The sequence below is a fragment of the Homo sapiens genome, chromosome 20 (genome assembly GCF_000001405.40).
Source record: "Homo sapiens chromosome 20, GRCh38.p14 Primary Assembly".
NCBI lineage: Eukaryota > Metazoa > Chordata > Mammalia > Primates > Hominidae > Homo > Homo sapiens.
This window is the reverse complement of record NC_000020.11, coordinates 34,467,125-34,494,246: the sequence shown is the minus strand read 5'-3', so window position 1 is coordinate 34,494,246 and position 27,122 is coordinate 34,467,125. Positions and strand designations below refer to the sequence as shown.

Below are 27,122 nucleotides of genomic sequence, written 5' to 3'. Positions count from 1 at the left end.
ATCTTTTCTTTTCCTTTGAGATGGAGTCTCACTCTGTTTCCCAGGCTGGAGTGCAGTGGCACGATCTCAGCTCACTGCAACCTCTGCCTCCCGGGTTCAAGCGATTCTCCCTGCCTCAGCCTTCCCAGTAGCCAGGGCTACAAGTGTGCGTCAACACGCCCGGCTAATTTTTGTATTTTTAGTAGAGACGGGGTCTCACCATGTCGTCCCAGCTGTTCTCAAACTCCTGAGCTCAAGCGATCCACCCAGCTCAGCCTCCTAAAGTGCTGGAATTATAGGCGTGAGGCTGTGCCTGGCCTAGGCTATCTCCTTCTGTCTTATCCCTACATGCAGATGGTTCTAGGCATTAGCCTTCTACTCCTCTCTGTATTCTATTTCTGCCTAAGACCACACATTCTCACAGCATCAAATGTCACTGCTCTGATGATTCAACTTCTTCTGTTTCCTCTTAACTCTAACTCATATATTGTTACCTCTACAGCTGCTTCCCTGGGGTTTTCTACTTGGTTGTCCAGCAGTTACCTTAAATTCAGCAGGTTCTAAGCTGCTCAGCATCCTCCCCCAACATCTACAACGATGCATACTCTTTATACTTCCTAACTTCTCCATTGCTCCATGTTCCATAACATGACAATTATTGCTGATACCCCTCTCTTATACTTCATTTTCTATTAAGCTCTCTACCTGTTTCTCCTTTGGAACTTTACCTAGTATCTACCCCCTCTTTTCTATTTCTACTTTCATCTCCTGAGATCAGGTTCTCATCATTGCTGCAATGATTTCTTCTTATCTCTAGGTCCTCACCATCTTTTAATCCACACTGTATCTTCCTATCAAATCTTCCTAAATGCAGCTTGAGCAAGTTTTCCTCTCTTCAAAAAGTTCCACAGCTTCCAATACCCTCACGGTAATATCCAAATTCTTTTTCTGGCTTTTAAAGTACTTTCTAAACTGGTTCCATGTTCTGTATTCAAAATTACCTGCTTAGTTCTAATTTTGACTCTCTGCTTCAGTCTGAAGCAGGCTTTGGGATCTTAACTTCTCTGTGTATCCTCCTATGATACTTGGGATAATGTTGGTATTAAGGAAATACTTGAATTTACTTAAATAATTTACTGTTTAGTAACAAAGTGAATATTGCCATAGTCATTCATCTTAATATTCATTTTAAGCAGCAGATTGCTGTGTAACAGGCACTTTGCCAGGGGCAAGAAATAAAAAGATGAAGATATGAATCCATTTCTCAAAGAACTCCCAGTCTCCCAGGGAAGAGTGGTTTTAAACACAATACTAAAACTACAATCCACTATTGTATTATATAATGATCTTCTCACATCGTTAAATAATACAACCAATAGTGATTGACTCTTAAGACACACATGTTTGGCAAATGACTAAATGAACAGATTTACATACAGAAGACTGCTGTCCTAATGAGTTAGCTGTGGGTTCTAGCTTGAGGGTTAAAAATTTCTACAAAGGTAAGTACTAAAAACTATTTTAAAGGTTATACAAATCCATGCTAACTGGGAATAGTTAAGAAAATGGCTATCCCTGTCTTTGTTGTTTCTAATAGGCTGTATACACATTTACGTAAAGCAGCATGATAAACAATTTTCTGTATAGGAAAAGTGATCCTGTATACATACCCATGAGATCAGCAAATCCTCCTACTGGCAATCGGCAGGTTCCAGTAACAAACTGCAGAAGTCTCATTCTCTTCTCATTATCAATTTCTTTAACAAACTGTTAAAAGTATATTTAAAGAGATATATATGTCATATGTTACATTCAGCACACTAAACAAGAAAGAAAAATAATGATTTCAAATCTTTTATTTTTTTTAGAGGTGAGGTGTCCCAGGCTCTGTGGCCCAGGCTGGGGTGCAGTGATGCAATCATAGCTGATTGCAGCCTCTAACTCCTGGGCAGCAGGCAGTCCTCCTGCCTCGGCCTCCAGAGTAGCTGGGACTATAGGAGCAAGCCACTGTATCTAGCTCATTTCAAATCTTAAAGGAAACTCTGGTGTCCACTGCATTAGATAATTACTTAACACTATGGATGGAGGGCCATTTCCATGTTTATCAAAGCCCCATCAACCTTTCCTTATATAAATCTTAGGACAATATACTTAAAGGGATATATAAAAAGTAAGATGGACTGAGACCAAGAGCTCCGTACTCACGCAGTTTTAAGATTAGCTCTTCTAGGGCAGCCCTTCCTGTGACTCCCCATCCCACCACCACCCCCCAGCCCCAGATTTGCCCGTCCTATAGGATATTCATGTGGCTACACAGGATACAGACCTTGAGTCAGTACAGACTTTTTGGTTTAATAAACAACTTTAATCAAACTCACAGAATTCTGATGCAGGATATATCCCAATAACCTCCTCTTCTCAATGTTCTTTAGGTTTTGGTATAGCTACACATAGCTAGAATTATGTGGTTTTTATTTCATACAATTCTGACTCAAAACAATAGGTTTCTAGAGAATGTTTCTAGCCTGTAGTATAACTGTTTTGCCTCAGCCAAAAACTTTTTTATAAGGAATAATTTTTATCCTATTGTAGTATTATTAATTATCCTACAATTGTAATCCTACTTGTTATAGAAGCTCAGTTTAAGTTTCTCATATGAATTTTTTTACATGTATACCAGATTTTTTTAATTTTTTAAATTTTTGTAAAATATACACAACATAAATTCTCGATTTTAACCATTTTGAGTGTAATTCAATGACATTAAGTACATTCACACTGTTGTGCAACCATCGCCACTATTTCCAACTTTTTCATCATCCCAAGTAAAACCTATGTACACATTAAACACAACTTCCCATTTTTGCTCCCTGCAACTTCTGGTAACCCATATTCTACTTTTGCCTCTATGAAGCTGCCCATTCTAGTAACCTCATGTAAGTGGAATTATACAGTATTTGTCCGTTTGTGTCTGGCTTACTTCGCTTATCTTAAAATTCATAATGTTTTTAAGGTTTGTTCATGTTGTAGCACATACCAAAAATCTCATTACTTTTTAGCACTGAATAATATTCCAACACAGACAGTCCCTGGCTTACAAATTTTTGACTTTATGATGGGTTTATTGGGTTTATTACTCCATCATAAGTTGAGGAGCACCTAGACTTATGATGGTTCGATTTATGATTTTTCAACTTTACAATGGGTAAGTTGTGACTTTACAATGTAACTTTACAATGGGTAAGTTATGATAAGGGTATTAAATGCATTTTCAACTCAAGATATTTTTGACTTATGATGGATATAAAGGATAAAACTCCAAGTCCAGGAGCATCTGTATATGCATATACCACATTTTGTGTCGGTAAATGAATGATGAATACTGGTGTACAAGTATCTGTTTAAGTCTCTGCTTTCAATTTTTTGGGCTGTATACCAAGGATTGGAATTCCTGGATCTTATGTTAATTCTATGCTTAAATTTTGAGGAACCACCAAACTATTTCCACAGTGGTGTGGTATTTCACACTATCACCAGCAATGCGCCCTTGGCAATGGTTGTTCTTCTCCACTTCAAAAATAATACTAAGTGTGATGTGGTATCTCATTGTGTTGTTTTTGTTTTTGAGACAGAGTCTTGCTCTGTCACCCAGGCTGGAGTGCAGTAGTGCGAACTTGGCTTACTGCAACCTCTGCCTTCCAGGTTCAAGTGATTCTCCTGCCTCAGCCTCCCAAGTAGCTGGGATTACAGGCATGTGCCACCATGCCCGGCTAATTTCACCGTGTTAGCCAGGACGGTCTTGATCTCCTGATGTCGTGATCCACCCGCCTCAGCCTCCCAAAGTGCTGGGATTACAGGTGTGAGCCACCGCACCCAGCCTCACTGTGGTTTTGATTTGCATTTCTCTAATGACTAATGATGTTGAACATCATATACCATGCTTAAGGCAGACATTTTTAGAGAGATACCGTTATGATTCTAAACCAAGTCTCTTAAATTTTGCCTTCTGAACATTATATAATTAATGAAGTATAAATGATAAAAAACATACTACAGACAGTCCTATAAAACCCCAAAACCATTTAAATCAAATGTAGGTAAATTTTATCATCTCGAATTGTCTTACACTCTACTTTGGACAAAGATGCAAGGTATGTGTGGCTTACTTGGCAATAGTCTTAAAAGGATGCTGTTATAATCTGTATTCATTTATTATAATGCATGGACTAAGGGGTCTATATACACTGGTACATTTTGACCTGTGACTCATTTCCATATGTGGTAAGCAAATTCTAAAAAATTATGCTGTGTCAACTAATAGAAATAAATTTAAAAACAAACCTGCCAAAACCACATGATTTGTTTGCTGGTCCTTGCATAATGACGGTAGATGGCATGTCTTTGCCAGTCATTCAAATCAATCTCTTGCATTCCACATAAAAGGACCTTTAGGGATGAAAAAGACAAATTGTTTCCTAAGGTAACTGTACAAAAACAGCTGGACATAGGAAAGACTAAGATTAAGCAAAGCTTTAGAATAACAATCAGTAGGCTTTGACTTATCAACTATACATCAAGAATTATATCTACATTGCTCATGAAGGCAAGGTTCCATGCACGGTGTCATACATATACATATTCAGGGAAGTAAGTCACTCAATTGTAGAGAAGCTCTAATATTTGTACTTTGGAGGGGGTAATACTATTGTTTTATCTTTGGATAAATTATGATTTTCTTTAACCATTGGGGATGTTTCAAAACATTTTGCCCCAGTATAAAAATATTACAGTAACAGGAAAGATGGGAAAGTGAGTTAAAAGCAGACAACTTAAGGCATTATTTACTAGCATGGTACAGGGGAATGAAGGAAAATTCATTACCTCTAATTCCTTTGCATCAAAGTATTGCAAATATTGCTGGGGAAGAATTTCATTAAAGCCTTCAAAGAAAGCTTGTGTCTGTTCTTCAACACCTCGAGACAACCTCCACTCAGCTACCATTCTGGCAAACAAATATGAAAAAACCTATCAGGAAGTTTAGATCTTATCTTTAAATTCTGAGTATAAAAATAAATTTTAAAAAATTATAAAAAACTTAAAATATATTCAAAAATAGAACATAATGAACCCCCTGTACACATGTCCAAGCTTCATCACAATGCCCATCTATTTCATCTATGCCCCTACTCATACCCTAGATATCATATAATTTCATTTCTTTATTTATTTGAGATGAGGTCTCACTCTGTCACCTGAGCTGAAGCACAGTGGCACAATCTTGGCTCACTGCAGTCTCGACCTCCTGGGCTCAAGCAATCCTCCTACCTCGGCCTCCCGAGTAGCTGGGAATATAGGTGTGCAACACCACGCCTGGCTGATTTTTGGTTTTGTATGTAGAGATGGTGTCTCTCTGTGATGCCAAGGCTGGTTTTAAATATCTGGCCTCAAGTGATCTTCCTGCCTCCGCCATCCAAAGTGCTACGATTACAAGCGTGTGCCACCATTGCCAAGCCATATAATTTCTTTTTTTTTCTTTTATTTTGTTTTTGTTTTTTGAGACAGGGTCGCGCTCTGTCACTCAGGCTGGAGTGCAATGATACAATCTGGGCTCACTGCAGCCTCCACCTTCCAGGTTCAGTCAGTTCTTGTGCATCAGCCTCCCGAGTAGCTGGCATTACAGGCGTGCGCCACCACACCCAACTGATTTTTGTGTTTTTAGTAGAGACGGGGGTTTCATCATGTTGGCCAGGCTGGTCTTGAACTCCTGACCTTAAGTGTTCTGCCTGCCTTCTCCCAAAGTGCTGGGATTACAGGCACGAACCACCACGCCCAGCCCAGATAATTTCATTTTGAACAAATACTTCAGTATTTGTCTCTACGACATGAGGATTATTTTTTAAAACATAAATCATAAAAACATGACCGCATCATTATTTTATAAACCTAGAATTCTAAATCTAGTGACAATATCCTTCAAAAAATGAAGGTGAAATAAAGATGTTTTCATATAAAAGCTGAGAAAATGCATCACCAAGAGATGCACACTAAGTGAAATGGTAAAGAAAGGTTTTTTTTTTTAAAGCCAAAGGGAAATTATCTTAGATTTAAAAAAAAAAATGAATCTGAGGAAAGAAATAAGGAGAACCAGAAATAGTAATGTGAGTAAATATAAGATTATTTTTGAAAATAGTTAAAAATTAAAGCAAGAATAACAGTAACAAAGTATTATATTTGTGACACGTAGAAATAATATATGACAACAACACCACAAAGAGCTGGAGTGAGGTAAATGGAATTATATTATTATGAGCTTCTTTTCTTTTTTTTTGAGACGAAGTCTCGCTCTTGTCCCCTAGGCTGAAGCGCAATGGCGTGATCTCGACTTACTGCAACCTCCGCCACCTGGGTTCAAGCGATTCTCATGCCTCAGCCTCCCAAGTAGCTGGGATTACAGGTGCCTGCCACCATGCCTAGTTGATTTTTGTATTTTTAGTAGAGACGGGGTTTCATCATGTTGGCCAGGCTGGTCTCGAACTCCTGACCTCAGGCAATCTGCCCACCTCAGCCTCCCAAAGTGCTGGAATTACAGGTGTGAGCCACCGCACCTGGCCTATGAGCTTCTTATATTGTACAAGAAGTAGTGTTTGGGTCAACAGGGATGTTAAAGATGCATATTATCATAATCATTAGAGTTGCCACTAAAGTTAAACAAAGAGGTATAGCTAAAAAACCAACAGAAGAGCTAAAAAAGAAAGTAAAAATTGCTTTATTCAAAGAAGGCAAGAAAGAACAAAGAAAGTTGGGAAAAATAAGAAACAAATAGCAAGGCGAGACAAATAGCAAAACAAATAGCAATGGTTAGACAAAAGTCCAACCAAATCAGTAATAAAATTAAACATAAATGTACTGAACACTCCAATTATAAAGTAGAGATTATCAGGATAAAAATAAGACCTGGCTGGGCACGGCGGCTCATGCCTGTAATCCCAGCACTTCGGGAGGCTGAGGTGAGGGGATCACGAGGTCAGGAGATTGAGACTTTCCTGGCTAACACGGTGAAACCCTGTCTCTACTAAAAATACAAAAAAATTAGCCAGGTGTGGTGGCAGGCGCCTGTAGTCCCAGCTACTCCGGAGGCTGAGGCAGGAGAATGACGTGAACCCAGGGAGCGGAGCTTAGAGTGAGCCAAGATGGCACCACTGCACTCCAGCCTGGGTGACAGAGAGACTACGTCTCAAAAAAAAAAAAAAAAAAACCTAACAAATACTTTTAAATACAATGAGAGTGGCTGGATGTGGTGGCTGACATCTGTAATCCCAGCACTTTGGGAGGCTGAGGTGGGTGGATCCCTTGAGCACAGGAGTTCAAGACCAGCCTGGGCAACACGGTGAAACCCCATCTCGTCATGTGGGTGTGGTGGCACATGCCTGTAGTCCCAGCTGCTTGGTGGCTGAGGCTAGAGGATCGCTTGAACTTCTGGAATTGGACGCTGCCGTGAGGCAAGATTTCACCACTGCACTCCAGCCTGGGTGACAAAGTGAGACCCTGTCTCAAAAATATTAATAATAAAAATAAAACATAATAAATAAATAAATAAATAAAATAAATAAAATAGTGAAAAACACAACATTCCAAAATTTGTGGCTGGGCGTGGTGGCTCATGCCTGTAATCCAGGCACTTTGGGACGCTGAGGCAGGCGGATCACCTGAGGTCAAGAGTTCAAGACAAGCCCGGCCAACATGGCAAAACCCCGTCTCTACTAAAAATACAAAAATTAGCCAGGCGTGGTGGCGGGTGCCTATAATCCCAGCTGCTCGGGAGGCTGAGGCAGAAGAATCACTTGAACCCAGGAGATGGAAGTTGCAGTGAGCCAAGATTGTACCGCTGCACTCCAGCCTGGGCGACAGAGCAAGACTCTGTCTCGGGGGAAAAAAAAAAAAAGGTGTGGACTGGATGCGGCGGCTCATGCCTATAATTCCAGCACTTTGGGAGACCAAAGTGGGAGTATCGTTTGGATCCAGGAGTTTGGAGACCAGCCTGGGTAACATAGTAAGACCCATCTCCTACAATAAATAAATAAATAAGTAAGCCAGGCATGGTAGTACATGCCTGTGGTTCCAGCTACCTGGAAGGCTGAGGTGGGAGGCTATCTGGAGCTCAGGAGGTTGAGGCTACAGTGAACCATGACTCTACCACTACGCTCCAACCTGGGCAACCTCAGAGTGAGACTCTATCTCAAAAAAAACAACAAAAAATTGTGGGATATAGCTAAAGAAATACTTAGTTGGAAATATGCAGCTTTAAATCCTTATATTAGAAAACAGAATGTGGGAGGATAGCTTAAGGCAAGGAGTCTGAGACCAGCCTGTGCAAAATAGCAAGACCACATCTCTACAAAAATAAAAACAACCAAAAAATTTGCTGGGCACAGTGGCTTGTGCCTACAGTCCCAGCTACTCAGAAGGATGAGGCAGGGGGATCCTTTGATCCCAGGAGTTTAAGACTGCAGTGAGCTCTGATCGTGCCACTGTATTTCAGCCTCGGCAACAGAGCAAGACTCCGTCAAAGAAGAACGAAATCTAGACGTATCGTAAGAAAAGGTAAGAAGAGGGAGGGAAGAAGGGAAAGAGAAGAGTTTCTAAAATCAATGATCTGAAATATTTAAGAACTCCAACAATCACAAATAAAAAGACAACCCAATTTTAGAATGGATAAAAGATTTGGATACACACATCACAAAAGAAGAGCTACAAATGATCAATATGCATAGAAAAACGTACTTGACACCATTAGTCAAGGAAGAAATGGAAATTAAAACCACGAGATATTACTGACAATGCTGAATTGGCAAGAACGTGAAGCAACTCTCAAATACTACTAGTAGGACTGCAAAATGGCAAAAACACTTTGGGAAACTGGCAGTTTCTAATAAAGTCAAACACCTTCCCAGCGATTTCACTCCTAGGTATTTACTCAAGAAAAATATGTCCACAAAAAGATATCACAAGAATGTTTATAGCAGCTTTACTCATAAAAGCCCCAGACTGAGAAACAACCAAAACATTTATCACCAAGAGAATGGATAAACAAATTTTGAGATATACACAGCATGGAATATTTCTCAGCAATAAAAAGGAATAAAATACTGATATAAACAATATGGCTGAATCTCACAAACACCAAATAAAAGAAAAAATCAGACACTAAAAGCTAGATATAAGAGTACATACTCTATGATTTCATTTTAGGAAGTTTAAGATCAGAAACAGTTATAGAAATAGAACTAAACAGAAATGGTTACCTACCTCTGGGGCTGGGAGAAGGGAGGTGTGCATTGGCCCCTTATGGGGTCCAGAATAGAAAAAAAAGTTCCACAATTTGGGTCATATTTACATGGACATGATGCTATATGGAACAGTGTTTACAGAATTGGTAATTAAATGAGTGATCTAGCACAACTTCTCTCCATAAAATGCTCACATTTGGGCTGATATATATATTTGTCAAATTTCAACTTCTACACTTAAGATCAGTGCATTTTATTCTAAGGAAATTATACTTCTTAAAATAATACTAAAAACCCCCCAAACTCTGAAATTTTAAGCAAGCCATTATTGAAGTAGATACTAAAAACCTTTTTAGCTGCCCATTATCTTAAAATGTTATCTTACCAGCAACAAAACTATTGAGAAACGTAGTACATCTCTTGGAATCTCGAAACATTACCTCTCTGGAATGCTATATATGTCATAAGAAAATCTAGACATATCATAACAAAAAAACTGGAGAATTGACAAAAACGAATTGACTACATTTTAAAAGCAGATTTCAAAATAAACTTTTAAAAGGATAGATTGTTGTCCAAGAAATAATGACAGCTCACTGTGTTAAATAGTATACTTTCAATTATGGAGGGAAAAACCAGGCAAGAAATGCAGAACCTGGAACTTAAGAAGTAAATATGCAAAATTTAACCCTGGCTGGAAAGAATTGCTATTGAGAAGGTATGAATGAACTATTAGCTCTTGAGACTAGTAGCATGAACCAATGGAAATAATCAGAAAGGATATACTATAAAACATCATTTTAGTTATAAATTTTACCCAACCTTATGATATAGTTTGGCTCTGTGTCCCCACCCAAATCACATCTTGTAGCTCCCATAATTCCTATGTGTTATGGGAGAGAACCAGTGGGAGATAACTGAATCATGGGGGCGGGCCTTTCTCATGTTGTTCTCATTATAGTGAATAAGTCTCACAAGATCTGATGGTTTTAAAATGGGAGTTTCCCAGCACAAGCTCTCTCTTTGCCGGCTGCCATTCATGTAAGACATGCCTTGCTCCTCCTTGCCTTCCACCATGATTGTGAGGCCTCCCCAGCCATGTGGAACTGTAAGTCCATTAAACCTCTTTCTTTTGTAAATTGTCCACTCTCAAGTATGTCTTAGCAGCAGTGTGAAAACAGTAAATTGTTACCAGGAGTGGGGTGCTGCTGAAGATAACTGAAAATGTGGATGCAACTTTAGAACTGGGTAACAGGCAGACGTTGGAACAGTTTGGAGGGCTCAGAAGAAGACAGGAAAATGTGGGAAAGTTTGGAACTTCCTATAGACTTGTTGAATGGCTTTGACCAAAATGCTGACAGCAATATGGACAATAAAGTCCAGGCTGAGGTGTTCTCAGATGGAAATGAGAAACTTTTTGGGAAATGCAGCAAAGGTGACTCTTTGTATGTTTTAGCAAAGAGACTGGCAGCATTTTGCCCCTGTGCTAGAGACTGGTGGATTTGTACTTGAGAGAGACGATTGTACTTGAGAGAGATGATTTAGGGTATCTGGTGGAATAAATTTCTACGTAGCAAAGCATTCAAGAGGAGACTTGCGTGCTGTTAAAGGCATTCAGTTTTGTAAGGGAAGCAGAGCATAAAAGTTTGGAAAATTTGCAGCCCAACAATGCAATAGACAAGAAAATCTCATTTTCTGAGGAGAAATTCAAGCTGGCTACAGAAATTTGCATAAGTAATGAGGACCCGAATGTTAATCCCCAAGACAATGTGGAAAATGTCTACAGGGCACGTCAGAGGTCTTCATGGAAGCCCCTCCTATCACAAGCCTGTAGGCAGGCCTAGGAGCTAAAAATGGTTTCATGGGCCGGGCCCAGGGTCCCCACGCTGTGTGCACTCTAGGGACTTGGTGCCCTGTTTCCTAGCTGCTCCAGCATGACTAAAAGTGGCCAAGGTACAGCCCGGGTTGTTGCTTCAGAAGGTGGAAGCCCCAGGAGTTGGCAGCTTCCACGTGCTGTTGAGCCTGAGGGTGCACAGAAGGCAAAAATTGAGGCTTGGGAACCTCCCTCTAGATTTCAGAAGACGTATGGAAATGCCTAGATGCCCAGGCAAAAGTCTGCTTGCAGGGGCAGGGCACTCACAGAGAACCTCTGCTAGGTCAGTGTGGAGGGGAAATGTGAAGTTGGAGGCCCATACAGAGTCCCTACTGGGGCACTGCCTAGTGGAGCTGTGAGAAGAGGGCAACCGTCCTCTAGACCCCAGAATGGTAGATCCACCAACAGCTTGCAGCATGAGACTGGAAAAGCCATAGACACTCAACGCCAGCCCATGAAAGCAGCCGGTGGGGGGCTATACCCTGCAAAGCCCCAAGGGCAGTGTTGCCCAAGGCCATGGGAGGCCACCTCTTACATCAGGGTGACTTGCATATGAGACATGGAGTCAAAAGAGATCATTTTGGAACTTGAAGATTTGACTGCCCTGCTGGATTTCAAACTTGCATGGGGCCTGTAGCTCCTTTGTTTTGGCCAATTTCTCCCATCTTGAATGGCTGTATTTACCCAATGCCTGTATCCCTGAGTGTATGTAGGAAGTAACTAAGTTGCTTTTAATTTTACAGGCTCATAGGCGGAAGGGACTTCCCTTGTCCCAGATGAGACTTTGGACTGTGGACTTTTGAGTTAATGCTGAAATAAGTTAAGACTTTGGGGACTGTTGAGAAGGCATGATTGGTTTTGAAATGTGAAGACATGAGATTTGGGAGGGGCTAGGGGCAGAATGATATGGTTTGGCTCTGTGTCCTCACCCAAATCTCACCTTGTAGCTCCCATAATTCCCATGTGTTGTAAGAGAGAATCAGTGAGATAACTGAATCATGGGATCACGGGGGTGGGTCTTTCCCCTGCTGTTTGCATGACAGTGAATATGTCTCACAAGATATGATGAAGTGTTTTGTTCATTCGTTTGTTTGTTTTGAGACAGAGTCTTGCTCTGTTACCAGGCTGGAGTGCAGTGGTGCTATCCTGGCTCACTGCAATCCCCGCCTCCCAGGTTCAAGCCATTCTCCTGCCTCAGCCTCCCTAGTAGCTGGGATTACAGGCACATGCCACCACACCCAGCTAATTTTTGTATTTTTAGTAGAGATGGGGTTTCACCATGTTGGCCAGGATGGTCTCAATCTCCTGACCTTGTGATCTGCCTGCCTTGGCCTTCCAAAGTGCTAGGATTACAGGCATGAGCCACCATGCCTGGCCGATGATGAGGTTTTAAAAACAGGAGTTTTCCCTGTACAAGCTCTCTCTTTGCCTGCTGCCATCCATGTAAGATGTGACTTGCCCCTCCTTGCCTTCCACCATGAGGGTGAGGCCTCCCCACCCTCGTGGAACTGTAAGTCCATTAAACCTCTTTTTTTTATAAATTGCCCAGTCTTGGATATGTCTTTATCAGCAGCAGGAAAGTGGATTAATACACCTTACAATATTCCCCATGAAAATATCTGCATATATATTTGAGATTCTTTTTAATGACATGTTATACAGCATAGTGATTACAGAGTTGATGTTTAAAAGAGTGATCCTGCATGACTTTTATCCTTAAAACTCTTTTAAAAACACTTAAAAAAAAACTTTTTAGAAATGAAAAATGACTGCCTACATAGGATATTGATTAGTACAGAGACAAATACTATTTTTGGAGATACTCTCCATTAGTATTAGTAAGCAATTATCAATGTGCTGTAGTCAAACAAAAAGTGAAATGTGAAAAGGAGCACTCTCACCTGATGTATTCCTCTTTATTTTCTTCTGTTACAAGAATATTGCCACCATTAGGTTTCAGATCATGACTCTTAATTTCACCTAGAATTTCTTTGTCAACGGAGAAGTACATTTCCAAATCACATTCCTCAATATTGTTTTCCCTGCACAAATGAAATTAGCACTATTTGTTATATCCACCAATTCAATCATAATTTATAAGTTTTTAACGAAAGGCCCATGTTCTTAAATAATTAATATTAAGCTATAACATCAAAATAAGAAGAAATAAGATTCTGTTCTAAGGTCATATTATTGCCGAAGATCTTGGGTGTATTTTTGTAAAATTTATCATATTGAATAAAAAGACAGGTTTGATATATAGATCATTTAAATACAATAAACCAATTATGTGCCTACAGTTTGGATAAGTTATCAATACTACACGGAATGCATATAACTATATTTTAATAAATTACATGGAAAAAGAAACTTACTTAACCCAGATGAGAGAATTGTAAAATTCTGGATCAATAGATTCTAAATCCTTGAGTCCAACTGGTTTGTTCAAGATACGCTTATAGAATGGTAAAGAAAAACCCGTGTCTATGAATTTCCCATGGAACAGAGCCTATGAAAAAAGGAAACAAGACCGCTTAAAATAACTGTACAATAATCATTTTATTTCAATATATTAGATGTACTCTTCATTTAAAAACACTTCCCTGGGTCAGGCATGGTGGCTCACGCCTGTAATCCCAGCAATCTGGGAGGCCGAGGTGGGTGGATCACCTGAGGTCAGGAGTTCGAGACCAGACTGACCAACATGGAGAAACCCCATCTCTACTAAAAACACAAAAATTAGCCGGACATGGTGGCACATGCTTGTTTGTAATCCCAGCTACTCGGGAGGCTGAGGCAGGAGAATTGCTCGAACCTGGGAGGCAGAGGTTGTGGTGGGCCGAGATCACGCCATTGCACTCTAGCCTGGGCAACAAAAGTGAAACTTTGTCTCAAAAAAACACTTCCCTGGCTGGGCACGGTGACTTATACCTGTAATCCCAGCACTTTGGAAGGCTGAGGCAGGTGGATTACCTGAGGTCAGGAGTTCAAGACCAGCCTGGCCAACATAGCAAAACCCCTTCTCTACTAAAAATACAAAAATTAGCCAGGCATGGTGGCGCACACCTGTAATCCTAGCTACTTGGGAGGCTGAGGCGGGAGAACTGACTGAGTCCAGGAAGCAGAGGTTGCAGTGAGCCAAGATCGTGTCACTGTACTCCAGCCTGGGTGACAGAGCAAGACTCTGTCTCAAAAATAAAAAACAAAACAAAACAAAAAACCACTTCCCTTTCTCTCATATGATCTGTTATGGCACCTAAGAGAAAATTTAGTATTGCTGAATAAGCAAAGTAAACATAATTCTTGACCTGCACTTACCATGGCAATAAATCTGCCAATAAAACGAAAATATTTCAGGTGATCTGGATTGATGTAAGAAGCGGGGTTTATCTGCAAGCAGTAGTTATCCTTCCCTGCATATTCAAACAGGCAATACATTGGGTTCAACACTTCATGTGACAAAAGAAAGAACCATTCTCTGAAATCAAAAGAAAATTTACGATGAAAAATCTTGTAGGTTACCAAGAAATCAAAGAACAGTGCTATAAAGTTCTCAGGGATCTATACCCCTCAGCTAGTGATAGTTTTCTAATCTCATGTTGATTTTTATTGCTTCTGTTCAAACTCACATCTGTTTCACAGAGTTGGTAGTATACACCATCTTTGGTAGATGGTAATATATACATTATTACATTTCAAAAAATCTAAGACAACATTGCACCTTTATTTGATGAACGACTAAATTGTATTTTCCAATTTTACCTGAGATACATCGTAATTTCAGAGATATTATAAAATGAAAATATTAGTCTTAGAATCAATGAAATACTATTCATAGGCAAATTTAAAATTCACTATTTACCCATGTGAGTAAAGTGGCTGAAATCAATCTAATATTCCATCTATTACTAAGTCCCATAATAATCCCCATCAAGTGCCACTACTCCCTACACGTTAAATCAATATGAAAATTCTTCCAATTTCACAGAGGCAGTAAAGTTCTTAATTCCAGCCACTCACATATTAGAAAAATGCTGAGACTCTAAGTCAAATATTGTGAAAATATGAACCAATATTAACATAAGATTATGGTTACTAAAACTACGTAACATGGGTGATCTGGGGTAATACATGTGGCATAAGCCTGTAATCTGGATCTCTTTTCCTGTTAGTTCATGGCCTCTTGTGATAAGTGTATCTCATGACACACTTTAATATTGCTAGTTTATTTTCTTATTAGGAATGAATGATTGCTCTCCTCTTCAATTGCCTTTAACTTATACAAAATTACATGTTTCTACTCATATTTGTTATTTATCTATGATTATATCATATATTTTGAAATAATTTTATTTAAACTCAGAAACATAATATAAATAAGAACTACTAAAATGTAGCCACCAATTAGCGTGCACACAAAGACACAGGCTCTGAACTAGGTCATTAATAAACAATATTTCTACTCTTCACAATAATCCTAGAAATGTAGATATTAATATTCTTATTTTACAGATGAAAATATTTGCCCAACATCACACTATTGAGAGCAGAAAAAGATTCAAATCCCGTCTTGACCCCAAAGTCCTTGTCTTTGCACAATGCCAGCTCTACGCAAATTTTTAACCTGGTGTGATATATTATCATGGAATAAGCAAAGCAATTCTCATTAGAGACTATCTTCTAGGGTCCAATATTAAGCTCCAATATGAAGAAAGCAGAATTAAGACTTTCAACTCCTATTTTGTACAACCTTCTATATTTTCATGACAAATATACTAATCTCAGTTGGAAACTGAGTAACTATTACCTGTATCAGTAATCTGTGGTGGGGAAAATGACCTGATCACTATAAGGCCTTGTGTTTTCTGTGGAACAGATATAAGAGGTGGTAGACTTAACACTGGCTACTGGTTAAATGATACAAAGCTTGCATCCAGGCTCTACAATTTATTATGTGCCTTAGGTGAGTCTCTAAGCCTCTTCATCATCCTATAAAATTCTGTATCACAAGGTTACCCTGAAGATTAAATGAGTGATGTGGGTGAAATCAATCAGCTGTACATGACATAGAAAGTGCTGAATTAAATGTTTTTTGAAATTCTGTAGCTACAGCATAATAAAGGTATAATAATTTGACATATTTCATTTTCCTAAAATATAAGATTGAGAAAATAATACTTGCAAGCGAAGTGCAATGGTACCTTTGGAGGAAAGGAACTAAGTTCTGAGTATTCATATTATCACTACCTTGCTACACCTCCATAATCTAAACCTTCTTCTCCTGGAAAAATCACCCACAAACGTCTTCGCAGATCTTGGGGACTGAAGCTCATTATCTAAAAAAAAATAAAGTAAAATAATTGGTGAAAAAAGCTATTGAAACACTGTCTACCACTTCTAGGTTTGACATCTCCTTCGTTATAGGTAACTGAAATCTCCCATGACACAGAAAGGTGTTCATGGTCTAGTCAAAACCACACATACAGAAAATACATTATAGTAACGTTTAATAATATTTTATTATATACATCTATATTTTTATATACCTTATACACGTGATTTTATTTATTTATTTACTTTTAGACAGTCTCTCCCTCGTTGCCCAGGCTGGAGTGCAATGGCACAATCTCGGCTTACCACACCTCCACCTCCCAGGTTCAAGCGATTCTCTTGCCTTAGCCTCCCAAGTAGCTGGAACTACAGGTGTGCGCCACCACGCCCGGCTAATTTTGTATTTTTAGTAGAGACGGGGTTTTGCCATGTTGGCCAGGCTGGTCTCAAACTCCTGACCTCAGGTGATCCACCGGCCTTGGCCTCCCAAAGTGCTGGGATTACAGACGTGAGCCATCATGCCCGGCCGTGATTTTATTTTTAATGATGCTACTATTGACTTATAATGTTGCCTGTATCAATTACTTAGAACATAGATGGGCATGGTCAGAGGTTGGGTGGGGTTTTTGTGGTTTGGTTATTAGGTTTGGTTTTGACTCATAGCCAAAGGTACACGTAACAGCTAACTGGCTAACCGAGAAATGAAAACCAGTAGCTGCAGAGAGACCCAGTTAACTTTGGAAACTCATTCTCAGCGGCAACCGATAACTACCTACAAAAACTACTCAAATTTTGTGTCCCACTATAGGTGGTTAATAGGATCATCTTCATATTTGAAGGACAGTACATTACTGAGCTACAATCAATAGGTCATTTGGTTTCCTGCCACGTAAAACAAATTATTTGACCAAAATTGTGTGTGTATAGCACTGCATATATCAATTACTCTTACAAAAAAATACAGAAGAACATGGAAAGGGAGAAGTTGATATAATGCCTATACTTTATTGAGTGATAAGAATGAATTACCACACTTAAATATCCAGAGAGGATCAGTAAGTATACCTGTTTATGCCAAGTTCTCTCAGTTCCCCCACAAAACCATCACATTTATGAATTCACATCCCACTCAAGCCAGAAAATCCCAGATGTAACAAAAAACTTCAATGCTTATGACATATGTACGTTTATGCCAAGTATTCTACAAATAGTATAGGCTAGGTATACAGCAACGCAAATGAGAAATGTCACAAGGTTAAAACTATCTTTAAATAATTCCTTTTGAGTTCCCGACCGCGGGCGATGGCTGCCGCTGGGGGCGCCCGGCTGCTGCGCGCCGCTTCTGCGGTCCTCGGCGACCCGGCCGGCCGGTGGCTGCACCACGCCGGGTCCCGCGCTGGAGCCAGCGGCCTGCTGAGGAGCCGGGGACCGGGCCGGAGCGCGGAGGCGAGCCGGCCGCTGAGCGTGTCGGCAGGGGCGCGGAGCAGCTCAGAAGATAAAGTGACAGTCCACTTTATAAACTGTGATGGTGAAACATTAACAACCAAAGGAAAAGTTGGTGATTCTCTGCTAGACGTTGTGGTTGAAAATAATCCAGATATTGATGGCTTTGGTGCATGTGAGGGAACTCTGGCTTGTTTAACCTGTCATCTCATCTTTGAAGATCACATATATGAGAAGTTAGATGCAATCACTGATGAGGAGAATCACATGCTCGATCTGGCATATGGACTAACAGATCACAGTTGGGCTGCCAAATCTGTTTGACAAAATCTATGGACAATATGACTGTTCGAGTGCCTGAAACAGTGGCTGATGCCAGACAATCCATTGATGTGGGCAAGACCTCCTGAACTAGAACAAATAGGAATATTTTCATGGAATTTTACCTATTTTTATAATTATTATTTAAGTGATAAAATGAGTACATGGATGAGTGGATTCTGTATTATGACTAGCTTTACTATTTTAATTCACCTTGTATAACTACTAAATTTTGTCATTCTTGAAAGTATGCAGCTCTGCCTCTGCCTCTGCCTGCCTCTGCCTGCCCCTGCCCCTGCCCCTGCCCCTGCCCCTGCCTCTGCCTCTCCCGTCTCCCTCTCCCCACGGTCTCGCTCTCCCTCTCTTTCCACGGTCTCCCTCTGATGCCGAGCCGAAGCTGGACTGTACTGCTGCCATCTCGGCTCACTGCAACCTCCCTGCCTGATTCTCCTGCCTCAGCCTGCCCAGTGCCTACGATTGCAGGCACGCGCCGCCACGCCTGACTGGTTTTCGTATTTTTTTGGTGGAGACGGGATTTCGATGTGTTGGCCGGGCCGGTCTCCAGCTCCTAACCGCGAGTGATCCGCCAGCCTTGGCCTCCCGAGGTGCCGGGATTGCAGACGGAGTCTCGTTCACTCAGTGCTCAATGGTGCCCAGGCTGGAGTGCAGTGGCGTGATCTCGGCTAGCTACAACCTCCACCTCCCAGCCGCCTGCCTTGGCCTCCCAAAGTGCCGAGATTGCAGCCTCTGCCCGGCCGCCACCACGTCTGGGAAGTGAGGAGCATCTCTGCCTGGCCGCCCATCGTCTGGGATGTGAGGAGCCCCTCTGCCTGGCTGCCCAGTCTGGAAAGTGAGGAGCGTCTCTGCCCGGCCGCCATCCCATCTAGGAGTGAGGAGCGCCTCTTCCCGGCCGCCATCACATCTAGGAAGTGAGGAGCGTCTCTGCCCGGCCGCCCATGGTCTGGGATGTGGGGAGCGCCTCTGCCCCGCCGCCCCGTCTGGGATGTGAGGAGCGCCTCTGCCCAGCCGCGACCCCGTCTGGGAGGTGAGGAGCATCTCTGCCCAGCCACCCCGTCTGAGAAGTGAGGAGACCCTCTGCCTGGCAACCGCCCCGTCTGAGAAGTGAGGAGCCCCTCCGCCCGGCAGCCGCCCCGTCTGGGAAGTGAGGAGCGTCTCCACCCGGCAGCCACCCTGTCCGGGAGGGAGGTGGGGGGGTCAGCCCCCCCGCCCGGCCAGCCGCCCTGTCCTGGAGGTGCGGGGTGCCTCTGCCCGGCCGCCCCTACTGGGAAGTGAGGAGCCCCTCTGCCAGGCCACCACCCCGTCTGGGAGGTGTACCCAACAGCTCATTGAGAACGGGCCATGATGACAATGGCGGTTTTGTGGAATAGAAAGCGGGGAAGGGTGGGTAAAGGATTGAGAAATCGGATGGTTGCCGTGTCTGTGCAGAAAGAAGTATACATGGGAGACTTTTCATTTTGTTCTGTACTAAGAATAATTCTTCTGCCTTGGGATCCTGTTGATCTGTGACCTTACCCCCAACCCTGTGCTCTCTGAAACATGTGCTGCGTCCACTCATGGTTAAATGGATTAAGGGCGGTGCAAGATGTGCTTTGTTAAACAGATGCTTGAAGACAGCATGCTCGTTAAGAGTCATCACCACTCCCTAATCTCAAGTACCCAGGGACACAAACACTGCGGAAGGCCGCAGGGTCCTCTGCCTAGGAGAACTAGGGACCTTTGTTCACTTGTTTATCTGCTGACCTTCCCTCCACTATTGTCCTATGACCCTGCCAAATCCCCCTCTGCGAGAAACACCCAAGAATGATCAATAAAAGAAAAAAAAAAGAAAGTATGCAATTTTTATTTTGGTTATATTACAAAAATGTCAGTCAGATATTAAAAAATAGTTAATGTGATAGAAAAACCTTACATATTTTTTCTTATGTTTGTTTAGCGACTTTAGCAAAATGTTTTCATATAATCTCATCTGTTTACCTAGAAGATAGGTTAAGGAAATATATTATTATTCCTGTTTGATGTAGGTGAAGGCAGAGATCTAACCTGGCTTGTTTAGGGCCATACCACTAATTGGAAAATCTGTACTAGAACCTGTGTCTTATTACTATAAGCTATTATGTTCAGACTGAAACTGGAGAAATTACGACAATTTATAGCAGTAGTTAAATCTGAATGTGTATGGACAAAAATATTTAATTGCTCAGTAAACTGCTTAACTTCAAAGATAGTTATTAACCTCATAAATATTTCAAAATTTTGATTCTGAAGTCTAAGTCTGAACACAGACATAACACTATCAAAGAAGTTTGATCTCTGTTTTGACTCAACTAGAGGAAAAATGATTGGATGGGTTTATTCTTTTCTAAGCAGAATGGTTTAACTTTGTACTCTTTGAAAAACAATGCTGATTTCTAAATCTCTGCCTATAACAGAATGGAAACCTTATGAATGAATTGTGTTTCTCTGTCCTGAGCTGGAGAAGGGAATGAGCAGGCTGACAGGTCGCACAGCCCCAGGTGGCGCCATTCTCTCATGCAAGGATGGGGCTCCAGGGTGAGCAGCGTGGGCTGCAGTGTGTCAGTCCCAGGAGGGAGGGAGTGGCGAGCACCACAGATTACCACATATGTGTGGAAGACATTTGTATCCTTATCTTTACTATAAATAAATCCATAAAAGTTAAAAAAAAATTCCTTTTAACAAATGTCTAATATGAAGGAAAAAAAATTGTTTTCTCCTGTACTTTCCCCCATAACCAGTTGTGCTGTGTTAACAGAAGAAACACTATCCCAGAGCAATTTTATCCAACAACTATCCAAAGAAAATCTGATGCTAATTTTGCAATTAGTTTTGTTACCTTTAAGCAATCAAATTGTTCTCTTATATTTTTATTAACCAGTTATTTGATGGATGTCAAATCTAGGGTGACAGCTTTAAAAACTGTTTTAGAACCATCTAGTCAGTTATTTTGCAAAAGACTTTAGGTTTCAAAGTCAAAAGATAAAGGAACAGTTTAATCATGTTTTGCATCTTTCCAGGACTGGTAAGAGGTAAGCAAGTTGCTTCAAGAAACTCGTCCAACAGAGTGATAAAAGGGTGGTTATGAACATAAAATTAGAAATGGGCAAGGACTAGGGTGGGGAATGGCCTGTGACACTTACATCAGATCAAGGGGATGACTCATAATTCTCTAAATGGCCTCAGTAAAGCTCCACTTCCCACTAAAAAGTTTTCTGCTCCTACATAGCAGGATGCCAACTGGCTTTTTCCTTTAATGTCAATAACTGACGTTCCATTAGGAAATGAAAAAAACTGATTCTGAAAGCAAGTAGCCAGCTACCACCAACTGTCTCAACCTCTTTTCCCTTTGCATTCAATTCCGTACTTCTTGAAGCTGTAGTTGCTACAATACCACTGGTGCTTGAAAATAATCACTTCCACATCTGGCTATAAAACAAGGACTAACCAGATGTTTTCATTTTAAGACATTTTTTCACTAGTTATTTTAATCTTCTACATAACACAATCATTTTAACATTTAGTTGCAGTAGGTTATTAGTAATATCTGCAAGATAAAGGCGAATAGTAGACTAACTCAAGTTTTTTTTTTTTTTTTTTTTTTTTTAAATTGAGATGGAGTTTTGCTCTTATTGCCCAGGCTGGAATGCAATGGCACGATCTCGGGTCACTGCAACCTCCACCTCCCAGGTTCAGGTGACTCTCCTGAGTAGCTTTACAGGATTACAGGCATCAGCCACCAGGCCCAGCTAATTTTTATATTTTTAATAGAGACAAGGTTTCACCATCTTGGCCAGGCTGGTCTCAAACTCCTGACCTCAGGTGATGTACCCGCCTCAGCCTCCCAAAGTGCTGGGATTACAGGCATGAGCCACCGTGCCCAGCGAGTAAATTAACTCAAGTTCTGAAGACAAGTGAAAAAATCTGCTGACTACTTCTGAAAACTCATATATATCTTTTTTTAGATACTGTCACCAATGACCACTTTTTTTCCTGTTAAGAGTAACATACGCTTATTGTAAAAATCCAAGTAATACTGAAGTGTTAAAACAAGTCTTCCCCTCTCCTTTCTACAATCTGATAATGTTCATATGGGTATTTCCAGACCTTTGGCTACCAAAAACCTATTATCTTACCTATGCATTTATTTCAAATCATACCAGTTTAGAAATGGAAACCTGAAACACACACACACACACACAAACCTATTATCTTACCTATGCATTTATTTCAAATCATACCAGTTTAGAAATGGAAACCTGAAACACACACACACACACACACACACACACACACACACACACACCCCTTAAGCCCTAAGGTGGCTGGCAATGAGATCGCACTTGAAAAATTCAAGGACTTCAACTCAAGAAGTTCCAAACCATTCAGATTAAACTGACAGCACCAAAAGCGGGTCCTAAGCTAGCAGCCAGGGGGGAAATTATTGAGAGAATGAAACAGTACCTGTTGAAAGGAATCCTCAAACAATGTTTTTCTTGTCACTGTAATCTTTATGTGCTGTGGCATGGCCAGTTGCTGAAATAGAAGAATGACTTAAGTCAACTCTCATCATTAAAATAGCCTATCAAAAAAATCAAAAGGGGAAAGTTTTATTTACTTTTATCTTTCCTTACAGAAACAAGTAGACTATGAATATAAATTTATATTCAATAATGTTTACCAATGCATCTGTGAGTATTCATGCTAATTACAGATTAATATATGCAAACAGAAGAACCACAAGATTGATCTCATATGCACACTGCTTACTTAATAATGTGTCAAATAAATCTTTACTTAATCTTATTTTCCAACAGTTAATCCAGATTCTTCTTGCTTCCATGGGTCCAGTTAATTACAAGAGTTTCAAGTGTAAAAATATTCATCACAGTAACTTTGACTAGGGCATTCATTTGATTTAGAACCCATAAAAAATCATTAATTCCAGTAAATATCTATACATAAGAAATAGTTGATCACATCTGAAAAAAACACTGAATATAACATCTATGTATGGACATGTTCATGTATGTATGAACATGTATTTATCTATCAAAGTCAGTTATATCAAACGATAGATATAAAAATGGCTGGTGTCCGGGCATGCTGGTTTATGCCTGTAATCCCAGCACTTGGGGAAGATGAGGCAGGAGGATCATTTGAATCCAGGAGTTCAAAACCAGCCTGGGCAACATAAGGGGACCCTGTCTCTACTAAAAATTAGCCAGGTGTGGTGAAGTGCATCTGTAGTGTCAGCTAGCGAGAAGGCTGAGGCAAGAGGATCACTTGAGCCCAGGAGGTCAAGGCTGCAGTAAGCCATGATGGCACCACTGCACTCCAGCCTGGGTGACAGAGTGAGATCCTGTCTCAGAAAAAATAACACATAAAAATAAAGTAGCTGGTTAAAATTATATCAGAAAATGCTTTTACTTACATTTGAAGATTCCTGCAATCTGAAAGTAATGGCTACTGAGGAAAAAGTGACAATGTTTGCTTATTCAGATGGTTTCAAGTTTAATTTTCTTCTTTAAAAAAAAGAAATATATATATATATATATTTACAGAGGTAAGGCCTCAATATGTTGCCCAGACTGGTCCTGAACTCCTGAGCTCAAGTGATCTGCCCACCTCGGCCTCCCCAAGTGCTGGGATTACATGAGGTTTAATTTTCTGAATAACCAAAGTCACAAATGATCTAATTGATAAATCTATTTATTTGCTCTAAAAATAGATGAAAGAGATTCTAATGCTTCCCATTTTACCTGTTTTTCTGTGAGTTAAGTATTTTCACAATCACTGTGTAATATAAAGCAACACAACAAAGTTAAGGCAGTACAGAGATACAGTTCCAATACTAACCTGACACCAGAACCGGAAATACTGAACCTTTGCTTTGAAGTCCCGAACATAGGCTATCTGAGGTCCATTGTCTCTGAGGAAGAACAAGGGTTAACAGGACATATATAGCTGCTTGTAAAAGATAATGCTGAAGGAAAGCAAAATATCCCACCCTCTCTCAGCACTTACTAACCAAATTCAAAAATATAGCATATTCCTAACAAAACCATTCTTTGCTTTTTGAGAGATATTTCCCCAAGAATACTTTTAAGTAACAGAAAAAACAAACAAAAAACTTTGATTTTGTTGAAACTACTGTTGTGGGATTTTCTTTTCTATGCTGCCAAATCTAAGAGGGCTAAGTAAAGGGGTTTCTATCTGAGAATGCTGTCTATCCCAACATCAATTCCCTCCTTTATCTTTAAGTAAAACCCTTGCTATTTAACTAAGTAGAATGCTACATATAATAAAGACTACATTTCTCTATATGGCCATGTGACTTAAGTCTCTAAGTGAAAGTGGCATATGAAACGTTCAAGAAGGATCTTTTTGGCCAGGTGCAGTGGTTCACACCTATAAATCCCAGCACTTTGGGAGGCTGAGGCGGGTGGATCATCTGAGGTCAGGAGTTTGAGACCAGCCTGACCAACATGTTGAAACTCTGTCTCTACTAAAAATTATAAAAATTAGCCGGGTGTGGTGGCAGGTGCCTCTAATCCCATCTACTTGGGAGGCTGAGGCAGGAGAATCACTTGAACCTCAGAGGTCAAGGCTGCAGTGAGCTGAGATTGCACCACTGCACTCCAGCAAGGGTGACAAAGCTAGACTCCGTCTAAAAAAAAAAAGGAAGGATTTTCTAAAAGACAGCTAAAATAGCTAAAAAGTGTGTGAGTGTGTGTGTGTGTGTGTGTGTGTGTGTTTATAATTTGCCCTTCCTCCAAATTCCAGCCTGGAGTGTGACCCTGATAGCTTAAGTTTCAGCAGCTGTCACAGACCATGAGGTCACTTTGAAGAATGAGACCATACTCTAGGATGGTAGAAAAGACAGAAGAATTTTAGATCACTATGACACCATGGGGTTTCTCAGCTAGCCTTGGACTTAATACCACTGCATTATCTCCCTCTTAAAAATTCAATGTATATCAGTGTAGAAATACAACTGATTTTGTACATTGACTTTATATTCTGTTACGCTGTTAAATTCACTTACTAGTTCTAGTAATTTTTTCTAGATTCTTCATGATTTTCTGTATACAAACGTTATTTGTGTGAGGGGAAAAGAGACAGTTTTACTTCTTCCTTTCCAATTTATACATCTTATATTTCTTTTCTTTTCTTTCTTTTTTTTTTTGAGATGGAGTCTTGCTCTGTCTCCCAGGCTGGAGTGCAGTGGCGCAATCTCTGCTCACTGTAACCTCTGACCCAGAGGTTCAAGCGATTCTCCTGCCTCCGCCTCCTGAGTAGCTGGGATTACAGGTGCCCACCACCATGACTGACTAATTTTTGTATTTTTAGTAGAGACGGGGTTTAGCCATGTTGGCCAGGCTGGTCTCAAACTCCTGGCCTCAAGTGATCTGCCTGCCTGGGCCTCCCAAAGTGCTGGGATTACAGGCGTGAGCCACCATGCCCGGCCTGTATTTCTTTTTCTCATCTCACTGCACTGGGTAGGAATACTGACACAATGTTGAATGAAGTAATGACAGTAGATATCCTTGTCTTACTCTTGATGTTCTACGGTATTTCATCATTAATTGTGATGTTGGCTGTAAGCTTTTGTTACATTTTTTTTTTCCAATAAAAATGTTTCCGGCAGGGCGCAGCAGCTCACGCCTGTAATCCCAGCACTTTGGGAGGCCAAGGCAGGTGGATCATGAGGTCAGGAGATTGAGAACATCCTGGCTAACACAGTGAAACCCCGTCTCTACTAAAAATACAAAAAATTAGCCAGGTGTGGTGGCGGGCGTCTGTAGTCCCAGCTACTCAGGAGGCTAAGGCAAGAGAATGGCGTGAACCCGGGAGGCAGAGCTTGCAGTGAGCTGAGATTGTGCCACTGCACTCCAGCCTGGGCGACAAAGTGAGACTCCGTCTCAAAAAAAAAAAAAAAAAAGTTTCCAAGGTAGCTGAGAGTTTCTCATAAATTTGCATTGTATTATGTCACAAGCTTTTCCTGAAATTATCGTATGATTTTTCTCCTTTAACCAATTTTGTTTGTTTTGACATGGAATGTCACTCTGTCACCCAGGGTGGAATGCAGTGGCCTGAAACCTCATCTCTACTAAAAATACAAAATTAGCCAGGCATGGTGGCGCATGCCTATAATCCCAGCTAATCAGGAGGCTGAGGCAGGAGAATTGCTTGAACCAGGGAGGCCGAGGTTGCGGTGAGCCGAGATTGGGCTATTGCACTCCAGCCTGGGCAACAAGAGTGAAACTCCGTCTCAAAAAAAAAAAAAAAAAAAAAAAATGAAAAAGAAAACATTTCCATCACTTGTATTTTATGAATGAATTTGAATAGGACTGATTAATTTATAACTTATAAGTTTGATGAACCTTACCAGTGACACCATCTAGGCCAGAATTTTCTTCATGAGAAATCTTTTTTTTCTTTTTTTTTTTTTTTGAGACAGGGTCACACTCTGCCACCCAGGCTCAAGTACAGTGGCGCGATCTCGGTTCACCACAGCTTCCTGGGCTCAAGCAATCTTCCCATCTCACCCTCCTAAGTAACTGGGACTACAGGCATGCACCACCACACCCAGCTAATATTTTGTATTTTTTGTAGACATGGGTTTCACCATGTTGCCTAGGCTGGTCTTGAACTCTTGAGCTCAAGTGATCTGCCCACCTTGGCCTCCCAAAGTGCTGAGATTACTGGCATGAGCCACTGGGCCTGCCCTTAAAAATTATTTAATTATGCATTTGATTTATCAGCTATAGGGATATTTAGACTTACTATCTGTTCTTGTGTCCATTTTGGTGACATATCTTTCAAAGAATTTGTCCATTTGATCTAAAATG

General features: G+C 40.7%; 1 protein-coding gene and 1 pseudogene across 14 annotated transcripts in view, besides 2 other annotated features; one reads left to right on the top strand and one right to left on the bottom strand.

Moving 5' to 3' along the window:
• ITCH (itchy E3 ubiquitin protein ligase) overlaps window positions 1-27,122 on the bottom strand; it is a 148,501-nt gene that overhangs the window by 17,527 nt on the left and 103,852 nt on the right. For 13 of the 14 annotated variants that reach the window (NM_001324197.2, NM_001324198.2, NM_001257137.3 and 10 more), the window contains 9 exons: window positions 24,127-24,199; window positions 22,732-22,803; window positions 16,387-16,475; window positions 14,458-14,617; window positions 13,515-13,648; window positions 13,041-13,181; window positions 4,861-4,981; window positions 4,321-4,425; window positions 1,650-1,746 (listed from right to left, as the gene is read on the bottom strand). In NM_001324197.2, the coding sequence (NP_001311126.1) occupies window positions 1,650-1,746; window positions 4,321-4,425; window positions 4,861-4,981; window positions 13,041-13,181; window positions 13,515-13,648; window positions 14,458-14,617; window positions 16,387-16,475; window positions 22,732-22,803; window positions 24,127-24,199 (992 nt within the window). Of the gene's footprint in view, window positions 1-1,649; window positions 1,747-4,320; window positions 4,426-4,860; window positions 4,982-13,040; window positions 13,182-13,514; window positions 13,649-14,457; window positions 14,618-16,340; window positions 16,476-22,731; window positions 22,804-24,126; window positions 24,200-27,122 lie in introns of those variants that run through there. The other variant, XM_047440538.1, reaches the window with a different exon arrangement.
• On the top strand, window positions 17,755-20,936 carry FDX1P1 (ferredoxin 1 pseudogene 1; annotated as a pseudogene).
• Window positions 19,215-20,159: an enhancer, noted in NCBI's record as "NANOG-H3K27ac-H3K4me1 hESC enhancer chr20:33061893-33062837 (GRCh37/hg19 assembly coordinates)". NCBI's record gives its function as "activates a minimal SCP1, AML or CMV promoter by ChIP-STARR-seq in naive H9 embryonic stem cells {active_cell/tissue: H9 hESC(naive)}" and the evidence as "EXISTENCE:reporter gene assay evidence [ECO:0000049][PMID:30033119]".
• Window positions 20,808-20,897: a silencer, noted in NCBI's record as "silent region_12835". NCBI's record gives its function as "represses an Ori minimal core promoter by ATAC-STARR-seq in GM12878 lymphoblastoid cells {active_cell/tissue: GM12878}" and the evidence as "EXISTENCE:reporter gene assay evidence [ECO:0000049][PMID:35858748]".